The sequence below is a fragment of the Homo sapiens genome, chromosome 16, assembly GCF_000001405.40.
Source record: "Homo sapiens chromosome 16, GRCh38.p14 Primary Assembly".
Taxonomy (NCBI): Eukaryota; Metazoa; Chordata; class Mammalia; order Primates; family Hominidae; genus Homo; species Homo sapiens.
The window spans coordinates 802,241-818,031 of record NC_000016.10 but is presented as its reverse complement, the minus strand read 5'-3'; the positions used below and the strand labels follow the sequence as shown (position 1 = coordinate 818,031).

At 58.1% G+C, this 15,791-nt stretch overlaps 6 annotated features.

Moving 5' to 3' along the window:
• Window positions 392–892: an enhancer, noted in NCBI's record as "H3K27ac-H3K4me1 hESC enhancer chr16:867140-867640 (GRCh37/hg19 assembly coordinates)". NCBI's record gives its function as "activates a minimal SCP1, AML or CMV promoter by ChIP-STARR-seq in naive H9 embryonic stem cells {active_cell/tissue: H9 hESC(naive)}" and the evidence as "EXISTENCE:reporter gene assay evidence [ECO:0000049][PMID:30033119]".
• Window positions 4,231–4,310: a silencer, noted in NCBI's record as "silent region_6961". NCBI's record gives its function as "represses an Ori minimal core promoter by ATAC-STARR-seq in GM12878 lymphoblastoid cells {active_cell/tissue: GM12878}" and the evidence as "EXISTENCE:reporter gene assay evidence [ECO:0000049][PMID:35858748]".
• Window positions 9,965–10,194: an enhancer, noted in NCBI's record as "active region_10215". NCBI's record gives its function as "activates an Ori minimal core promoter by ATAC-STARR-seq in GM12878 lymphoblastoid cells {active_cell/tissue: GM12878}" and the evidence as "EXISTENCE:reporter gene assay evidence [ECO:0000049][PMID:35858748]".
• Window positions 10,275–10,484: a silencer, noted in NCBI's record as "silent region_6960". NCBI's record gives its function as "represses an Ori minimal core promoter by ATAC-STARR-seq in GM12878 lymphoblastoid cells {active_cell/tissue: GM12878}" and the evidence as "EXISTENCE:reporter gene assay evidence [ECO:0000049][PMID:35858748]".
• Window positions 13,510–14,053: an enhancer, noted in NCBI's record as "H3K4me1 hESC enhancer chr16:853979-854522 (GRCh37/hg19 assembly coordinates)". NCBI's record gives its function as "activates a minimal SCP1, AML or CMV promoter by ChIP-STARR-seq in naive H9 embryonic stem cells {active_cell/tissue: H9 hESC(naive)}" and the evidence as "EXISTENCE:reporter gene assay evidence [ECO:0000049][PMID:30033119]".
• Window positions 14,598–15,142: an enhancer, noted in NCBI's record as "H3K4me1 hESC enhancer chr16:852890-853434 (GRCh37/hg19 assembly coordinates)". NCBI's record gives its function as "activates a minimal SCP1, AML or CMV promoter by ChIP-STARR-seq in primed H9 embryonic stem cells {active_cell/tissue: H9 hESC(primed)}" and the evidence as "EXISTENCE:reporter gene assay evidence [ECO:0000049][PMID:30033119]".

The following is a 15,791-nucleotide window of genomic DNA, read 5'->3' as shown; positions in this document are numbered from 1 at the left end:
AGTCTCAAAAAAAAAAAAAAAAAAAAAAAACGGGGAGGTCTGGCTCATGTCACTCACCCGCAGCTGGAGCACCCCCGAGGAGCCCCACTCAACAGTGGCTTCTCTGAAGATGAGCCACAGAAGTTCAGTTCCTGGGGAGCAGGGCTGGTTCTTTCCTGCTTTTAATGCTATAGGAAACCTCGGCTGCTGGGGAGGCTGCGGGCGAGGGGCCGCAGACAGGCCGAGGGTCTGCAGGAAGCCGCGAGTCGACAGGAGAGAGGGGATGAGAGGCGCGCTGAGCAAAGGCGGCGAGAAACGCTGCCGTCACCTCCTGCCCGGGCCCCGTGGGGCCGCCCGGCCGCCGCCACGCAGACGTGGTGTGTAAAACCGTGGGTCAGCCCGCGTCTGCTGGTCGCCGGGGAGCAGAGGCTCGTTAAGACCGTCTGTTAAAAGCCAGCGGCTTCCATCGTCACTCAGCTAAAAACGTGTCAGTGGAGAGCGGAGCCAAACGTGCTTTTTCTAGGGGAGGAAACAGGCTTTTCACACACCGGCTGTCGCCAGGACCAGGTAGGTGTGAGGGCCTGGCGGGCGATGGTGGGTGGCAAGGGGATGGCCGGCAGTGGCGCCAAAGCGTTGCGTCTTGCCAGAGCCTCCCTCCTCGCCTCCCGGTCAGATCCTCACCCTCCCTCGCCACCGCGCGCCTGCAGCCGCACTCGCCCCTCCCAGCCTTGGCCGGAGCGTCCTCCAAGGTGCGGTGCGAGGCAGCAGACAGAGTCCCCATGCCAGCCACCCTCCCCTTCTCGCTCCGTCTTGCCAGGCGACTCCGAGTCTTCAGCGGCAGAACGTGGTCCTCCCTTCGGGGTCCCTGAGCTGCAATGCAGCCGCTTGAGGCTGGGGACGGCTCCAAGGAGCCCCCAGTCACCAAGAAGCAGCCTCCAGAAAGGCCGCTGCGGGTTCCGGGGAAAGGCGGCCTGAACGTGCATTCCCGTGAGACTGCCTGGAGGGGCGAGCTCTGCTGCGGGGCAGGGGGTGCCTGATGTGGGCTGAGGCCTGTGCAGAGAAGCCAAGAGGACACCTGGACCCTCCGCCGAGTCCAGCCACCAGAGACCCAGAGCCCCCCACGAAAGCAGAGCCTCGGGCCGGGCCCTGTGGCTCACGCCTGTAATCCCAGCACTATGGGAGCCCGAGGCGGGAGGATCACGAGGTCAGGAGACTGAGACCATCCTGGCTGACACGGTGAAACCTCATCTCTAATAAATATACAAAAAATTAGCCGGGCGTGGTGGTGGGCGCCTGTAGTCCCAGCTACTCGGGAGGCTGAGGCAGGAGAATGGCGTGAACCTGGGAGGCGGAGCTTGCAGTGAGAGGAGATCGCACCACTGCACTCCAGCCTGGGTGACAGAGCGAGACTCCGTCTCAAAAAAAAAAAAAAAAAAAAAAGAAAGCACAGCCTCTGCTCCCTGCTGAGGAGGCCCCAGGCCAGGGGAGGGGGGCTGCCCCACGTGTTCCCGCTGGGTAGACCCCTGCCCCCACCCACAACAAATGGGGCACAGCAGGTGTGGAGGGGGCAGCCTTCTGCACCCCTCCTGGTGCTCAGCTCTCTCCCGGGACCCCTGCACCTCCCAAGGGCACCAGGCCTCCCCTGGCCCCGTGCCTTGTTGGCTTCCAGGCCTGACCCTACGTGACCTCTTCTCTGGGGTTCCCCTCACCTCCTCCCAGTGCCAGGGGAGGGACACGGGTGCCTACAGGGAAGGTGACAGGTCCCTTCTAGCCTCGAGAAAAGTATGGTAAGCCCCGGTTGAGGGACCTTCTAGGAAATCCCGACCTTCCTCCTCAAAACCGCCCAGACCACCAAAACCAAGGGAAGTCCAAGAAATGGCCACAGCCCAGGGGGGTTCACAGCCCAGGGGTGCTCAGGCAGCCAGACGGGAACTGTCCCAGGATGGGGAAAGGCCCCTCGGTGAAGGCCGAGGACTCCGGTAAACTGCGTCGATCCTGGTTCACGCCAGTGTGGGGTGTCACCTCCACGGGACCCTGCGGGGAGGGCACAGATGGGGGCTCGGCTCTGTCTCCTCAGTGTTTCAGAAAACCCACAGCTGCCCAAAAGAAAACCTGTTATTTGTTTAAAGTACTAAGATTCCTGTCATCCCAGCACTTTGCGAGGCCAAGGCAGGAGGATCGCTTGAGACCAGAAGTTTAAGACCACCCTAGGCAACATACTGAGCCCTCGTCTCTATCAAAAAAAAAAAAAAAAAACATTAAAAAATTAGCCAGGCACGGTGGTACCCACCTGTGGTCTCAGGAGACTGGGGCAGGAGGATCACTAGAGCCCAGGAGAGGTCAAGGCTGCAGTGAGCTAGGATGGCGCCAGTGCACTCTGGCCTGGGTGACTAAGGGAGGCCCTGTCTCAAAAAAATACATTTTTTGGCTGGGTGTGGTGACTCACACCTGTAATCCCAGCACTTCCAGAGGCTGAGGCAGATGGATTACTTGAGGTCAGGAGTTCAATACCAGTCTGGCCAACATGGTGAAACCCCATCTCTACTAAAAATACAAAAATTAGGCGAGCGTGCTGGCAGGCGCCTGTAATCCCAGCTACTCGGGAGGCTGAGGCAGAAGAATTGCTTGAACCCAGGAGGCAGAGGTTGCAGTGAGCCGAGATCACACCACTGCACTCCAGCCTGGGTGACAGAGCAAGACTTTGTCTCAAAAAAAACTTTTTAAGGTAGCACGATTCACCCATAATGACATCAGCCCAGCATTTCCACCAACCTCAAAAGAGAAGAGACGGGCCTGGCTGAGCCCCAGCAGCCCACGTGCCACACTCCGAGTTTCTGCACAGCCTGGCTGTACTCGCGGGCCCCCATCTCGGCCCCACTTCTCCTCAGCTGCTTCTGGGGTTTCTGTGAGTAATTCCCCAACAATTCGGACCTCAGTGACTCTGGACTGAGGAGTCTCACCTCCCAGAGTGACTGTGGTTATAAATAGGATTTTCTCAAGCTGGTTTCTACTCTGAAAACTGTAATAACATATGTCTGATCCTCGTCTTCAACAAAAAGATTTAAAAGCAGCAAAGCATGGCCAGGCATGGTGGCTCACGCCTGTAATCCCAGCACTCTGGGAGGCCAAGGCAGGTGGATCACTTGAGATCAGGAATTCAAGACCAGCCTGGCCAACATGGTGAAACCCCATCTCTACTACAGATACAAAAAATTAGCCCGGCGTGGTGCCGGACGCCTGTAATCCCAGCTACTCGGGAGGCTGAGGCAGGAGAATCGCTTGAACCCGGGAGGCGAAGGTTGCAGTGAGCCGAGATTGTGCCACACTGTACTCCAGCCTGGGCAACAGAGCAAGACTCCATCTCTGAATGAATGAAGCAAAGCAACGTTGGTAAAGACCCCACAACAGGCATCTGGCGGCTGTGTCCAGACCATGCTTCTCAAAGGGGACCCAGAAAGCTTCCAGGGTCCCCGAGGTCAAACCTGTTTTCCTGACACTTCTAAGAACGGTTTCCTTCCCATTCTTATTATTTTTTTTTTGAGACTGTGTCTCGCTCTGTTGCCCAGGCTGGAGTGCGATGGCATATGGCATAGTCTCGGCTCCATGCAACCTCCACCTCCAGGGCTCAAGTGATTCTGGTGCCTCAGCCTCCGGAGTAGCTCGGATTACAGGCGTCCGCCACCACGCCTGGCTACATTTTTGCATTTTAGTAGACATGGGGTTTCACCATGTTGCCCAGGGTGGTCTCAAACTCCCGCCCTGAGGTGATCAGCCCACCTCGGCCTCCCCAGGTGCTGGGATTACAGGCCTGAGCCGCTGCGCCCGGCCTCCTTCCCACTCTCCTGAAAGTGTGGGGCGGAATGTTCCGGAGGCCACCGGCTTGCAAGCAGACGCAGACATGAGAATCCAGCACAAAGTCACGCCTTCTTTTTCTTCCCACTACATTTTTTTTTTATGGGGAAACAGTTGCTTTTCCTTAAAATGCTATGTTCACGTGCAATGGATTTATTGCTATTTTTACGTGAAAAGGTGAACATTTTTAAATGCTCTGTTTCTGGTAGAGTGAATGTCCACAGCGGCCGCCCACGTAAACAAAAGCCCGAATGGTTTTAGGATTGTGAAGGGTCCTGGGAGCCGGGCTGGGCCAGCGTTGGGTGAGGATCCTTCCGGAACCCGGGGTCACGGGGACGATCACACGGACCTGTGGCTCCACCCGGTGGTGACGGCGAGGACGGCGGGAGACCCCAGCGGGCAGGAGCGCGGCCCGAACCGCGCGGCCCCGGGGATCCGCCCAGGGCAGGCAGGCAGGGGTGCCCCGGGCGCTGGGGGTTCGGGGCTGGCCGTCCTCCGCGGCGGGGCGGTCCTGCGGGTCGCAGGGTCCTGGGCGGCCTCCCCGGGCTCCACCAGCCAGATGCCTGCGGCAACACCAGCGGAGATCACAGACGTCTCCAGATGCCGGCCAGCGTCCCCCGGGGGCAGAAGCGCCCAACCCCGTGAGAGCTGCCCAGTCCACAACACAGACAGGACGGTGCCGAGGGAGGCGTCAGCACGGAGCAAAACATTCGCACATGATGGCCGAGAGCTCCGGGCACTTGCTCCACCTCCACTCCGTCCCACAGGGGCTCCAAGCCGGCCGCTCCCCACCATGGGAGTCGGGGTGGACCCAGGGATGGGGAGGCCGTGTCGGTCCGGCGTCCTTGCCGGTCCCGCAGCAATAGCAGAGGGGATGTCTGTGCGGTCGCCGCCCACGGCAGCATCTGCAGGGTCAGCGGCGCAGGAGGGGTTCAGGCCTGGGCGCTCCCTGGGGGTCTCGGCCTCTCCTTGCCTCCTGCGGGCCTCACAGACCCCGGGGACTCCCACACAGTCCTTGAGGCCCCCCACCCACGGCTGCACCAAGGGGCAGTGCCTGAGCCCTCAGCCCCGTATGAGATATATATGATATGTACACACACACACGTATATAAAGTTACAGGTGTGAAAAGGTTCATGGTGGCATTTTTTGGTAGACTGGTTTTTAGTAGGATGAGAAATGACATGGTTTTATTCTATGTCTTATGAAGCCAAATGTTTACGCACAGAAAAGCAAACAAATCAACCTTGAGGAGCCCGCACCTGATCAAGTGAGGGACTGTTCCTCCCTGTCGGGGGTAACCTCCCTGGTTCTGTCAGGGCTCACTCCTTCACTCCAGAGCGGGGACTCAACTGTCATTCAACTCATCGGTGAGGTTTTATTTCTACAATTATGTTACTGTTTTTTTTTTTTTTTTTTGAGATAGAGTCCCGCTCTGTCGCCCAGGCCGGAGTGCAGTGGCGCGATCTCAGCTCACTGCAACCTCCGCCTCCTGGATTCAAGCGATTCTCCTGCCTCAGCCTCCCGAGTAGCTGGGATTACAGGCGTGCACCACCACGCCCAGCTGATTTTGTACTTTTAGTAGAGACAGGGTTTCTCCATGTTGGTCAGGCTGGTCTCAAACTCCCAACCTCAGGTGATCTGCCCGCCTCAGCTTCCCCAAGTGCTGGGACTATAGGCGTGAGCCACTGTGCCCGGCCACAATTATGTTTTTTCATGTGAAGGTGGCTCCTTGTTCTTTTTGCATGTTTCCCTGTTCTTGCTTCTTTGTTGTTCTTCCCTCATTTATCTCCTTGGGAACTGTAAACACAGCTCTTTCAAGACCCCCTTCACGTTATTCCTTGGCTGCAACCCCCGACGTGCTGCTCTGTGGGCTGACCGCTTGTGTGCAGCCTGCATGTCCTCCGATGCTGGAATATATTTGGTTGTTCTTTCCTGCACCTGCCCTCGTGGAGTGGGGGTCGGGGGTCCCAGGCAGAGGATTTTGAGGATTGTCTCTGACCAACCTTACGACGTGCTCCAGCCCTGAACTGGGTCTTCACAAGAGCGTCTCAAGTCTGAGATGTTCACCCCCCACACCTGCGAGCAGCAAGACCGTGGCCTCTTCTCAGACTAGCAGCCTGCCCGCCTGCTCCTGAGGTGCGGGGGTGCCCCCACCCCCAGCCCTGCCAGCTCACTCCATTCTCCTTGTCCTGCTCTTGTGGGTACAGTGGCTGTCTGAGGTCCTCCACCTCCCCGTCTGGGGAGTGGGACTCAGCCCACACCATTGCAGGCATCTCTAGGGGTAACTGAAGACCATGGTGAGAATTCTCACCACAGAGCTTGAGCCCCCACCAGCCACTGAGTCTCGCCAGCGCCAGCCTCAGCCTCTCGCATGGGACTGGGCAGGTATCAGACCCCAGCATTCTGAGGCTACGTCCCACCCTCGGTCATGGGAGTACTTTGCACTTTCTATTTTCACATTTAAGCCTTAGATACAATTTCTAGGCAACAGAAAAAATCCCATCCAGAACCACGTAACCTCCAATTTTTTTTTAACTTTTTAATTTTTTTTTTTTTTTGAGACTGGGTTAAGAGACTGGCTAATTTTTGTATTTTCGGTAGAGACAGAGTTTCGTCATGTTGCCTAGGCTGGTCTCAAACTCCTGGACTCAAGCAATCCACCCGCCTCAGCCTCCCAGAGTGCTGGGATTACAGGTGTGAGCCACAGCGCCTGGCCAAAGCCCTGATTTCAATTAATAGTTTCCATTTAAGTTCACCTATGACTAAGCGCTTTGCATACCCCAGTATTCATGTTTTTTGGTTTGTTTAGAGACAAGGCCTCGCTCTGTGTCCCAGGCTGGAATCAGCTCACTGCAGCCTCAAACTCCTGGGCTCAGGAGATCCTCCTGCCTCAGCCTCCTGAGTAGCCCGGACGACAGGTGTGAGCCACCACGCCAATTTTTTTTTTTTTTTTTTTTGAGAGATAGTGTTTTGCTATGTTGCCCAGGCAGGCCTTGAACTCCTGAGCTCAAGCAATCCTCCCTTCTCAGCCTCCCAAAGTGCTGGGATTACAGGCGTGAGCCACCGCCCCCAGCCTCTATTATTTTTCATGATGCCCACCTTACCCCTGGCGGGCACTGTGCAAACACTTTACACAGCGCTGCAGTCAACCCTCCCAAAAGCCCTGGGCAGCACTGTCCTCCCCGTCCTCTAACGAGCAGACCTCAGAGAGGCTGGGCCACTCACCCATGCCAGCCACCTAATAAGTGGCAGAGCCAGCCAGGAGCCCAAGCCAAACACAGCCGTGTGGACAGCCGTCCCTCCATGCCACACCTCCTCCCTGCTGAGGGAGAGGCCAGCCGGTCCCCGTCCACATCAAGTGTCCGGAGAACCAGGTCTGCCTCCCCACAGGGCAGTGCTCTAGCCACTGGCTGCTCAGTGTGGGAGCCTCCTTTTGGGCAGAGCAGCCCGGGGCAGCCCAGAGCCCACTGGACGTCCCGGGGAAGCTCCAAAGGCAAACCCTCCATAGATCCGAGCCTGCTCCAGAACCCAGAGGTTCCGGGCCAAGGGCGCACACGGAGTTTGGGTTTGTGCTACTTCCCTGGGACATCCTGATGTGGCCTGTTTGGGAGAAGCCGCCAGGAACACCCTATCCTGTTGGCTCCATGTCCCAAGTCACCCAGACCTGTCCCACACCCTCCCCGCTGCACCGTCTCTACTGAGGTCTCTGCAAGATCCATCTGGGACATCATGAAAGGCTCTGCTAACCCTCAAAGCCCAGGTACCATGGGGTCCAGATTTGGGCGGCATTTTTATAGAAAATTGCATCAGAAAGACCTCACTGCATCTCCCAGCCCTCCTCAGGGAACCAGAGGGGACCCGTTCCTCACCCACAGCAACCTCTGCAGCCTCTCCTCAAATCCCCCAGCCTCTACCACAGCCTCCCTCTCCCCTCCCTTCCTTCTGTTAAATGAAATCTATAGGAAGCCATTGGTGGCCAGGTGCGGTGGCTCACGCCTGTAATCCCAGCATTTTGGGAGGCCGAGGCGGGAGGATCACTTGAGGTCAGGAGTTCGAGACCAGCCTGGCCAACATGGCAAACCCTCATCTCTACTGAAAATACAAAAATCAGCAAGGCGTTGTGGCACGTGCTTGTAATCTCAGACACTTGGGAGGCTCAGGCAGGAGAATCGCTTGAACCCGGAGAGGCGGAGTTTGCAGTGACCCGAGATCACGCCGCTGCACTCCAGCCTGGGCGACAGAGCGAGACTTCATCTCAACAACAAAAAAAAAAAAAGTTCCATGTCACCAAACTGAAGCTAAGTTGTTTATCTGAACTTCTGAGAAACCAGGAGAGTAATAACAGCCAAATCCCCAAACAGGCTGATCCTTGCCGGTACAATAAGGAGTTCTCTTCTGCTTTCACCCTTACAAGAAAAGCAGCTTCGAAGTGAGCGATCCGTGTTTTCTGTTTCCGCTTTCCTCAGCCCTTCCGTCTAGAAAACCAGCCTCCTCTGTTCAGCCCCCCGGGGCACTCCCTGCTCTCTGTAGAGCCAAGCGGTTGCCCGAATCTAGCATCACGAATGGAGCCCACGAGGATCTTTAAACTAAATTTGTAACTCTGTCTTGTGACAATTCTCTGGATCAGCTTATGCAGGGAGGGAAAGAGGGCAAATCAGACACTGTCCTAGTGGACGAGGAGGGAGATGTCCGACCTGCCGTGGGTCATCTCAAGCACCTACTTGGCTGGGTGAAGGGATCCCTAGAGACCTCATAAGGCGCTGCTTCTGGGTGTGTCTGCGAGGGGGTTTCCAGAGGAGCCTGCCTGGGGGTCGGGGGACCAAGGGGAAGACCCTCCATGGGGGCGGATACCATCAATCGCCTGGGGGCCCAGATAGAACAAAAAGGGGCTGGGCACGATGGTCCACGCCTGTAATCCCAGCACTTTGGGAGGCTGAGGCAGGCGGATCACTTGAGGTCAGGAGTTCGCGACTAGCCTGGCCATGGTGATACCCCATCTCTCCTAAAAAATACAAAACAAATTGCCAGGCATGGTGGCATGCACCTGTAGTCCCAGCTACTCTGCAGACTGAGGCAGGAGACTCGCTTGAACCTGGGAGGTGAACGCTGCAGTGAGCTGAGGTCGTGCCACTGCACTGCATTCTGTCTCTAGCCTAGGAGACAGAGCGAGACTCTGTCAAAAAAAAAAAAAAAAAGAGGGAAAAGAAGTTCTGCTCTTGTTCCTGGCGCTGGGACTCTCTCTTCCTCCTCCTGCCCTTGGACAGGGCCCCCAGCCTTGGGACTCCAGGACTTAACACCAGCGGCTCCTTGGATTCTCAGCTTTCAGCCCTGGCCTGAGTCACACCTTTAGCTCCCCTGGTTCTTCCGTTTCCTGACTTGGACCGAGCCAGGCTGCCAGCATCCCAGGTCTCCGGCTTGCAGATGGCATCCCTCCCGGGACTTCTCGGCCTCCCTAACCGCATGGGCCAATTCCCCTGACAAACCCACTATCATCCGTCTATTAATCCGTCTCTCCAATATATTGGTCGGCCTCTGGAGAATGCCTACTGATGCGACACCTGTTTCTGTACACTGGCTTCTGCCTCAGATCTCACAGGCGTGCCAGGGAAGAAGCATTCCAGATCCCATTTAGGAAACTGTGGAGGACGGTGTGAAAGTAAAAGCTCAGGACCCCAATTCAGGCTGCCAAAAGGACAGAACGAAGCCGAAGACGGAGCCGGTCAAGTTACTGCCTCTCCCTGTGTTGTTGGGCAGGTAACTACAGACGCGAGGTCAGATCTCACTCTCCATTGCCCTCATCTTGCGGACGCATCATCGGCGACCCCAGCCCCCCACCCCCCGCCCCTCCTTTTCTCTTCCCACCGTGGGCTCAGAAACAGGACCGGAGCCTTCCTTACCCCGCAGCCCGCTTTCCCCCTTTAAATACGGAGGCCTCAAAACCATCTCTGGAGAAAGGCATCGACCTGTCCCCCCAGGCGCGACCTCGACCTTGCCGAGCCACGCTCCGAAGCCCACCGAGGCCTGTCCCGGCTACTTCTTGGTTTACAACTGAAATGGACCAAAAAGACAGCGGGCATCCTTCTGGATCATCTGATTCTGCAGGGGTCTGCGACTTTCGCCGTCTTCGAGATATTTTACGGTCCTGGAGTTGCAGAAAACGTCGAGCAACGCGAGCGACTCTCGACCAGCGTCGCGTCCGTCAAATGCAATCGATCATCGCCAGTGGAGAGTGACCGGATATGAGAGCCCTGCCCGACTCCAACATGGCCGCCCAGCCCACGACCGAGGCCTGGGCAGCCGCTGCCAGGAGCCAAGATGGCTGCGACGAGCGCTGACGTCACGCGGGCGGCCACCGTGCGCGGCTGACCCTTTCCTGCCGGGACCCGGAAATTATCTCCCAAGGCGGAAGTAAACGGCGCGCGACGGTCGGTTGAAAAGTTGGCCGGGGCGGGCGAAGGCTGCGAGCGGGGCCGTCCGGGTGGTCTGGGCGACTGCCCCGAGGGCCCGCCACGCCCTGGGGCCAGCCCTGACCGTCTTACCTCAGTTTCCCCACCTGTAAGAGGGATCCGCTGGCGGGTCCCTTTGCCATCCCCCTTCTCTAAATGCAGGGACAGAAGACGGCCGCTGGCGGGACGGCCACAGGGGCCCAGGCCCGGCGCCTGCACGCGGGGCTCGCGCCCGGGTGTTTGGCCATATCGGGAGGCGGCAGGAGGCGGCGGCGAGGGGCCCTGGCGAGGGCACAGGCGGGTCAGGGAGCAGCGCTGGCTGAGGCCCGGCGGCCAGAGGGAGCGGGAGGGAAGGTGCGGGGCCTGGGCTGCTGCCTCCTGGGCACGTCTAGCTTTCGAGGGTCACACCGCGGGGAGAGGTGACATTTTGAAAAGGTAATGGGGGCCACGATCCCTCCAGAGGCTATAGGGAGGACCCTTCCTGCCTCTTTGAGCTCCTGGGGGCTCTGGGAGCTCCAGGCGTCCTTAAGAGGCTTGTGGCCGCGTGGCTCCAAACTTGTTTTTGTTTTGTTTTGTTTTGTTTTGTTTTTTGAGACGGAGTCTCGCTCTGTCACCCAAGCTGGAGTGTAGCGGCGCGATCACGGCTCACTGCAAGCTCCGCCTCCCGGGTTCTCGCCATTCTCCTGCCTCAGCCTCCCGAGTACCTGGGACTAGAGGCGCCCGCCACCACACCTGGCTAATTTTTTTGTATATTTTTTTTAGTAGAGACAGGGTTTCACCGTGTTGGCCAGGATGGTCTCAACCTCCTGACCTCGTGATCCGCCTGCCTCCGCCTCCCAAAGTGCTGAGATTGCAGGCGTGAGCCACCGCCCCCGGCCCAAACATTTTTTTTTTTTTTTTTTTTTTTTTTTTGAGATGGAGTCTCCCTCTGTTGCCCAGGCTGGAGTGCAATGGCATGATCTCGGCTCACTGCAACCTCCACCTCCTGGGTTCAAGTGATTCTCCTGCCTCAGCCTCCCGAGTAACTGGGACTACAGGCGCGCAGGCCACCACCCCTGGCTAATTTTTGTATTTTTAGTAGAGACAGGTTTCCACCATGTTGGCCAGGTGGTCTGCCCACTTTGGCCTCCCAAAGTGCTGGGATTACATATGTGAGCCACCATGCCCGGCCTCAACTTTTTTTGAGACAGAGTCTCACTCTGTTGCCCAGGCTGGAGTGCAGTGACATTATCTCAGCTCACTGCAGCTTCCACCTCCCAGGCTCAAGCAATCCTCCCACCTCAGCCTCTCCAATAGCTGGGACCACAGGTGCGCACCACCACACCCAGCTAATTTTTGTATTTTTTTGTAGAGACAGGGTCTCACTTTGTTGTCCAGGCTGGTCTCCAACTCCTGAGCTCAAGGGATCCTCCCGCCTTGGCCTCCATAAGTGCTGGGATTACAGGTGTAAGCCGCTACTTCCTGTCGTCTACTCTCTGTATTTTGCAAATAAAACGTTTGCAGGTCATGTCAAACATCAAGTGATTGATCTGTGGGGACGCAGGCGCCTTCCTCAGAGCCCCTCCCTCCCCTGCTTCTGCCCCAGCCAGCCTTGTGCATCTGCAGATACCGAGGCTGCTCAGGGGCGCTCTGCTGTCCACTGAGTGCGAGGAGTCTCAGGCGCTGCAGGGACCCGGGTGCTGCCACACGGGTGGACAGCCCATGGTGGCCGGTTGGAGGCCTCTAGCACAGACCCTGCACACCTGGAGGCTTCTGCTGGCAAAGCCCTGGGACCTAAGACCAGATGCCCAGGGCTATGGCCCACTTGGGATGACACACAGGGTCCCCAGATGTGTGCATCTACCCCAGTGACCCCCTTTTTGGGATGCTTGTGTCTGTTCTGGGGCTGCTCTGGGCCCCAGGGGTTGGGGGTGGGCGGTGTCCCCTTGTGAGAAGGGGCCCGCATGGCAGGAGTTCCCTGTGGGCGCAGGCCAGGCCCTGGAACGGTCTGTACCTCGCACACTGCATTTGCGAGCGGCTGCGCTGTTCCTGAGCTGGTTGGGAGCTCAGAAATGCAGGCGGGTGTCTTCCTGCCCCATGGGGTGGTAGAGATAGCCAGGAAGTGAGTGCCGGCCGCCCAGGGCCCCAGGCTTATTTCCCGAGACGGAGCTTGGCCACCTGTGGTCTGGTCTCCACGTAGCAGGATGCACGTTCGAGGCCTGTGACCCATGGGGTGGTAAGTGGGGTGTGCAGCTGCCCCACCCGTGTTGGGGTGACCTGGCTGTCCCCAGCAGCCACCTCTGCACGGGGGCTTCTGGTCAGTTCGGGCCATCCTAGCATCTGGCTAGGCTCTGCCAAACCCATTTGCCAATCAGATTTGGAAGACTGGACATTCTGTGGTTTCCCTAGCCCCGGAAGCAGCAGCAGGGCCATCCCCTGCACTGGGGGTCCCAGGATCCCTGATGGGCTGTGGCGTGACCCATCCAGGGTCTTAGAGGCCAACCTGGATTCACAGCATGTCCTGTGGTTAGAGGTACAGGCGGGTCCTTGGGCCCTGATGCACTTACAGTGGTGGCCACCCAGCCCGGGATGTTTGAATGAAGCCGTGGGGACAGCCAGAGGCCAGAACACACCGTCTTAACTTCTAGGTGTCCTTAGGCAAAATCACGGGACCTTTGTCATCCCTTTTTTTTTTTGAGACAAGGTCTCCCTGTTGTGAGCTGTGGCATGATCACAGTTCACTGCAGCCTCCACCTTCCAGGCTCAAGGGATCCTCTAGCCTCAGCTTCCCAAAGTGCTGGAATGACAGGTGTGAGCCACTGCACCCAGCCTAGTCATCCCAAAGCAAGTGTCCGTCTGTGTGGGCAGGGACTCTCCCAAAGCCAGAAGCCCTGTCAGGCTGCTGCACGGCTCTGGCCACCACCCTGCGGATCACGGGCTCCTAGGAAAGCCGCCCCAGGGACCACGACACACCGGAGGGTGGCCTGGGGCAGAAGGCGCGACTCACTCTCCCTTCCCTTCCCCCACAGACCTTGGAAAGGTCTCGCCTCAAGGCCTCCCACCACCCTCGGCTGAGCAAATGTGTCTCTCTTTTGGAAAATCTGCGACTTCTGAGCTGGTACTCTTGGAAGAGCGTAATTTGGTGGAGCCGGCAGTGGGGGCCTCTGAACCCAGCAGGCTGTTATTTTGCCCGTCGGTTCCCCTTAAACACACTCAAGTTCCGAATGGGGGCAGCACCCCATCCCCGGGAGCCCAGCTGGCATTGCTCCTGGTGACACACTGACCTCCAGTCCTCAGGCCAGGAGCTAGGGCGTCCGAGCCTGTGGGGATCCACCGCCCAGCCTGCTTCTGTCCTTCCAGGACCTCCTGCCTCAGGCCATGCTTCTGGTTAGCAAAGACATACCTAGCTTTTCAGGAGACGGGCGTCTCTTAAGTAGGAAACCTCCGGCGACTGTAACCACGCACTGACCTGCAGCTGTTCAGAGTAAACCGAGCTAAGGCAGGCACGCTACCCCGAGGCTGCAGCGCGAGCGTGGCTACGGCCAAGCCCCCAGCAGGCCCCTGACTACACAATGGAGGTCAGGTGTGGATGACAGCCACGCACCCGGGACTCCCTTGAAGTTGTTTTTTTTTTTTATTATACTTTAAGTTTTAGGGTACATGTGCACAACGTGCAGCTTTGTTACATATGTATACATGTGCCATGTTGGTGTGCTGCACCCATTTACTCGTCTTTTAACATCAGGTATATCCCCTAATGCTATCCCTCCCCCCTCCCCCCACCCCATCCCTTGAAGTTTTCCGTTGTGTTTTCTGTGCTTGGGTTTAAGAGCTTCAATTGTTTTTGAAAATCACTTTGAAACTTTCACAGATGACAGAAAAGTCGTTGCCGTGAGCTCCAGTTAACTAGGCGGAGTGAGTTTCTTTGGTGAGGAGCTGCCTTCGTTATTTCCCCAGGCCCCACGCTTGCAGTTTTGTTTGCAGGGACTGAGGGAAGTCAGCGTGTCCTCCACACACATTCACCCACCACCCCCGGGCTGCTTGGGTCCTGCAGGCCACAGGGTCCCCCTAGGACAGCCAGAGCCCTCTGCAGAGCCTAGGGCACAGGCGGGTGGAGGATGGGACTGGTCCTTGGTCCCCAGCTCAGCACTTTATCCCTCTGTTCCCCGGAGAGTTGACTGGTGTCGGGGGCTGTCTCCCCCACCCATTCGGAGTTGAGGCCGCAGCGAGAGGCCAGTCCCGGGAGACCCTGCTGCAGCTTCCCGCTAGGAAGGGATCAGAGCCCCCTATGCCAGTGTGGTACCAAGCCCTAAAGTCAGCGTGAAGGGCCTCCGGCCTCCTGTGCTTCCCCCACGGTCTTGGTTGGCTGTAAATGGGAGGTCTCGATGCTCCTGCCCCAAGCCAGGCCCAGCGGCACAGCCCCACGCCTGGTGGGTCAAGAGCCCCTCGGGCCAGGGACAGCTATTTCTAGGGCAGCGGAAAGAGCCCTGCGTGTTCTCAGCCAGCGGCCCAATTAGTGGCCTAATTTCAGAAAGGAGCCCCTGGCCTCGGGAGGCTGTGGTCACTCCGTTGGGGGACTGGCTGCCATTCCTCCCAATGAGAATCGCTGAAGCCGGGTCCAGCTGTAGGGCCGGGGGAGGCAGATTCCAGACCCGAGGCTGACTCCAGCTCAAGGCGTCAGCGCCCGGATGTGTTTGGGGGTTTCCGAGTGCAGCCTTGGTAGGAAGGTCGAAGTCAGTCTTCAAGACCCCCGTCTTACTGAGGATGGGACCTCACAGCCCCTCACACGGGAGCAGAGGTTACTGCACCCACCCAGGTCAGCACAGGACCTGCTTCTGATTCTGGGGGTCCACACGACACCGAGGCTGACTGGTGCCCCCCCAGCGACCAGAAACGCCACAGAAGTGGGGTGAGAGACGGGACCCACATCACATGCCTGGGACATGGGCCTGCAGCAGACCCAAAACCCTCAGCTTGCCCTGGCCCTGCCCCCACTTCCCTCAACCTCCTCCTGCCCTTGGCCTTGGGGGTCACCCAGACCCTGCTCAGGTAGGCAGGCCGGGTCCACCATGCAGGTACACACAGCCACTTCTCTGCTGAGATGCTGAGGACTGGCAGGACCTGCCCGGACCACAGGGCAGTGCTCACTCCAGGACGTGACCCCACGGCCCGTCTCACCTGTCCTGGTGGCCCACACCACACTCCAACCTGTGTCCTGATTCACTGGGGGCACTGGCCGTGTTGGACAGAGCTCAGGCACCCTCAGGGACCTTACTGGGTCCAGTGAATTGACCAAAAGCCAGAACCTGGAGCCTTGGCGACCCCATTAGGAGACCTCCTAGGTCCTTCCAGATGAGCAGATGCAAAGGCCGCTTGGGGTCCTGAGAGTGGCCACAGAACCCCCAGCTCTCACAACTCAGCTGCGGACCTCAGGGTGTTCCCCCGCCTGGCCCTGGCTCCAAGCCACCTGCTGTCCCAGGGAACGTGGGGGACATGCCCTGGGGTCCCCCCCGCCTTGCCTGCATCCTGGGGTG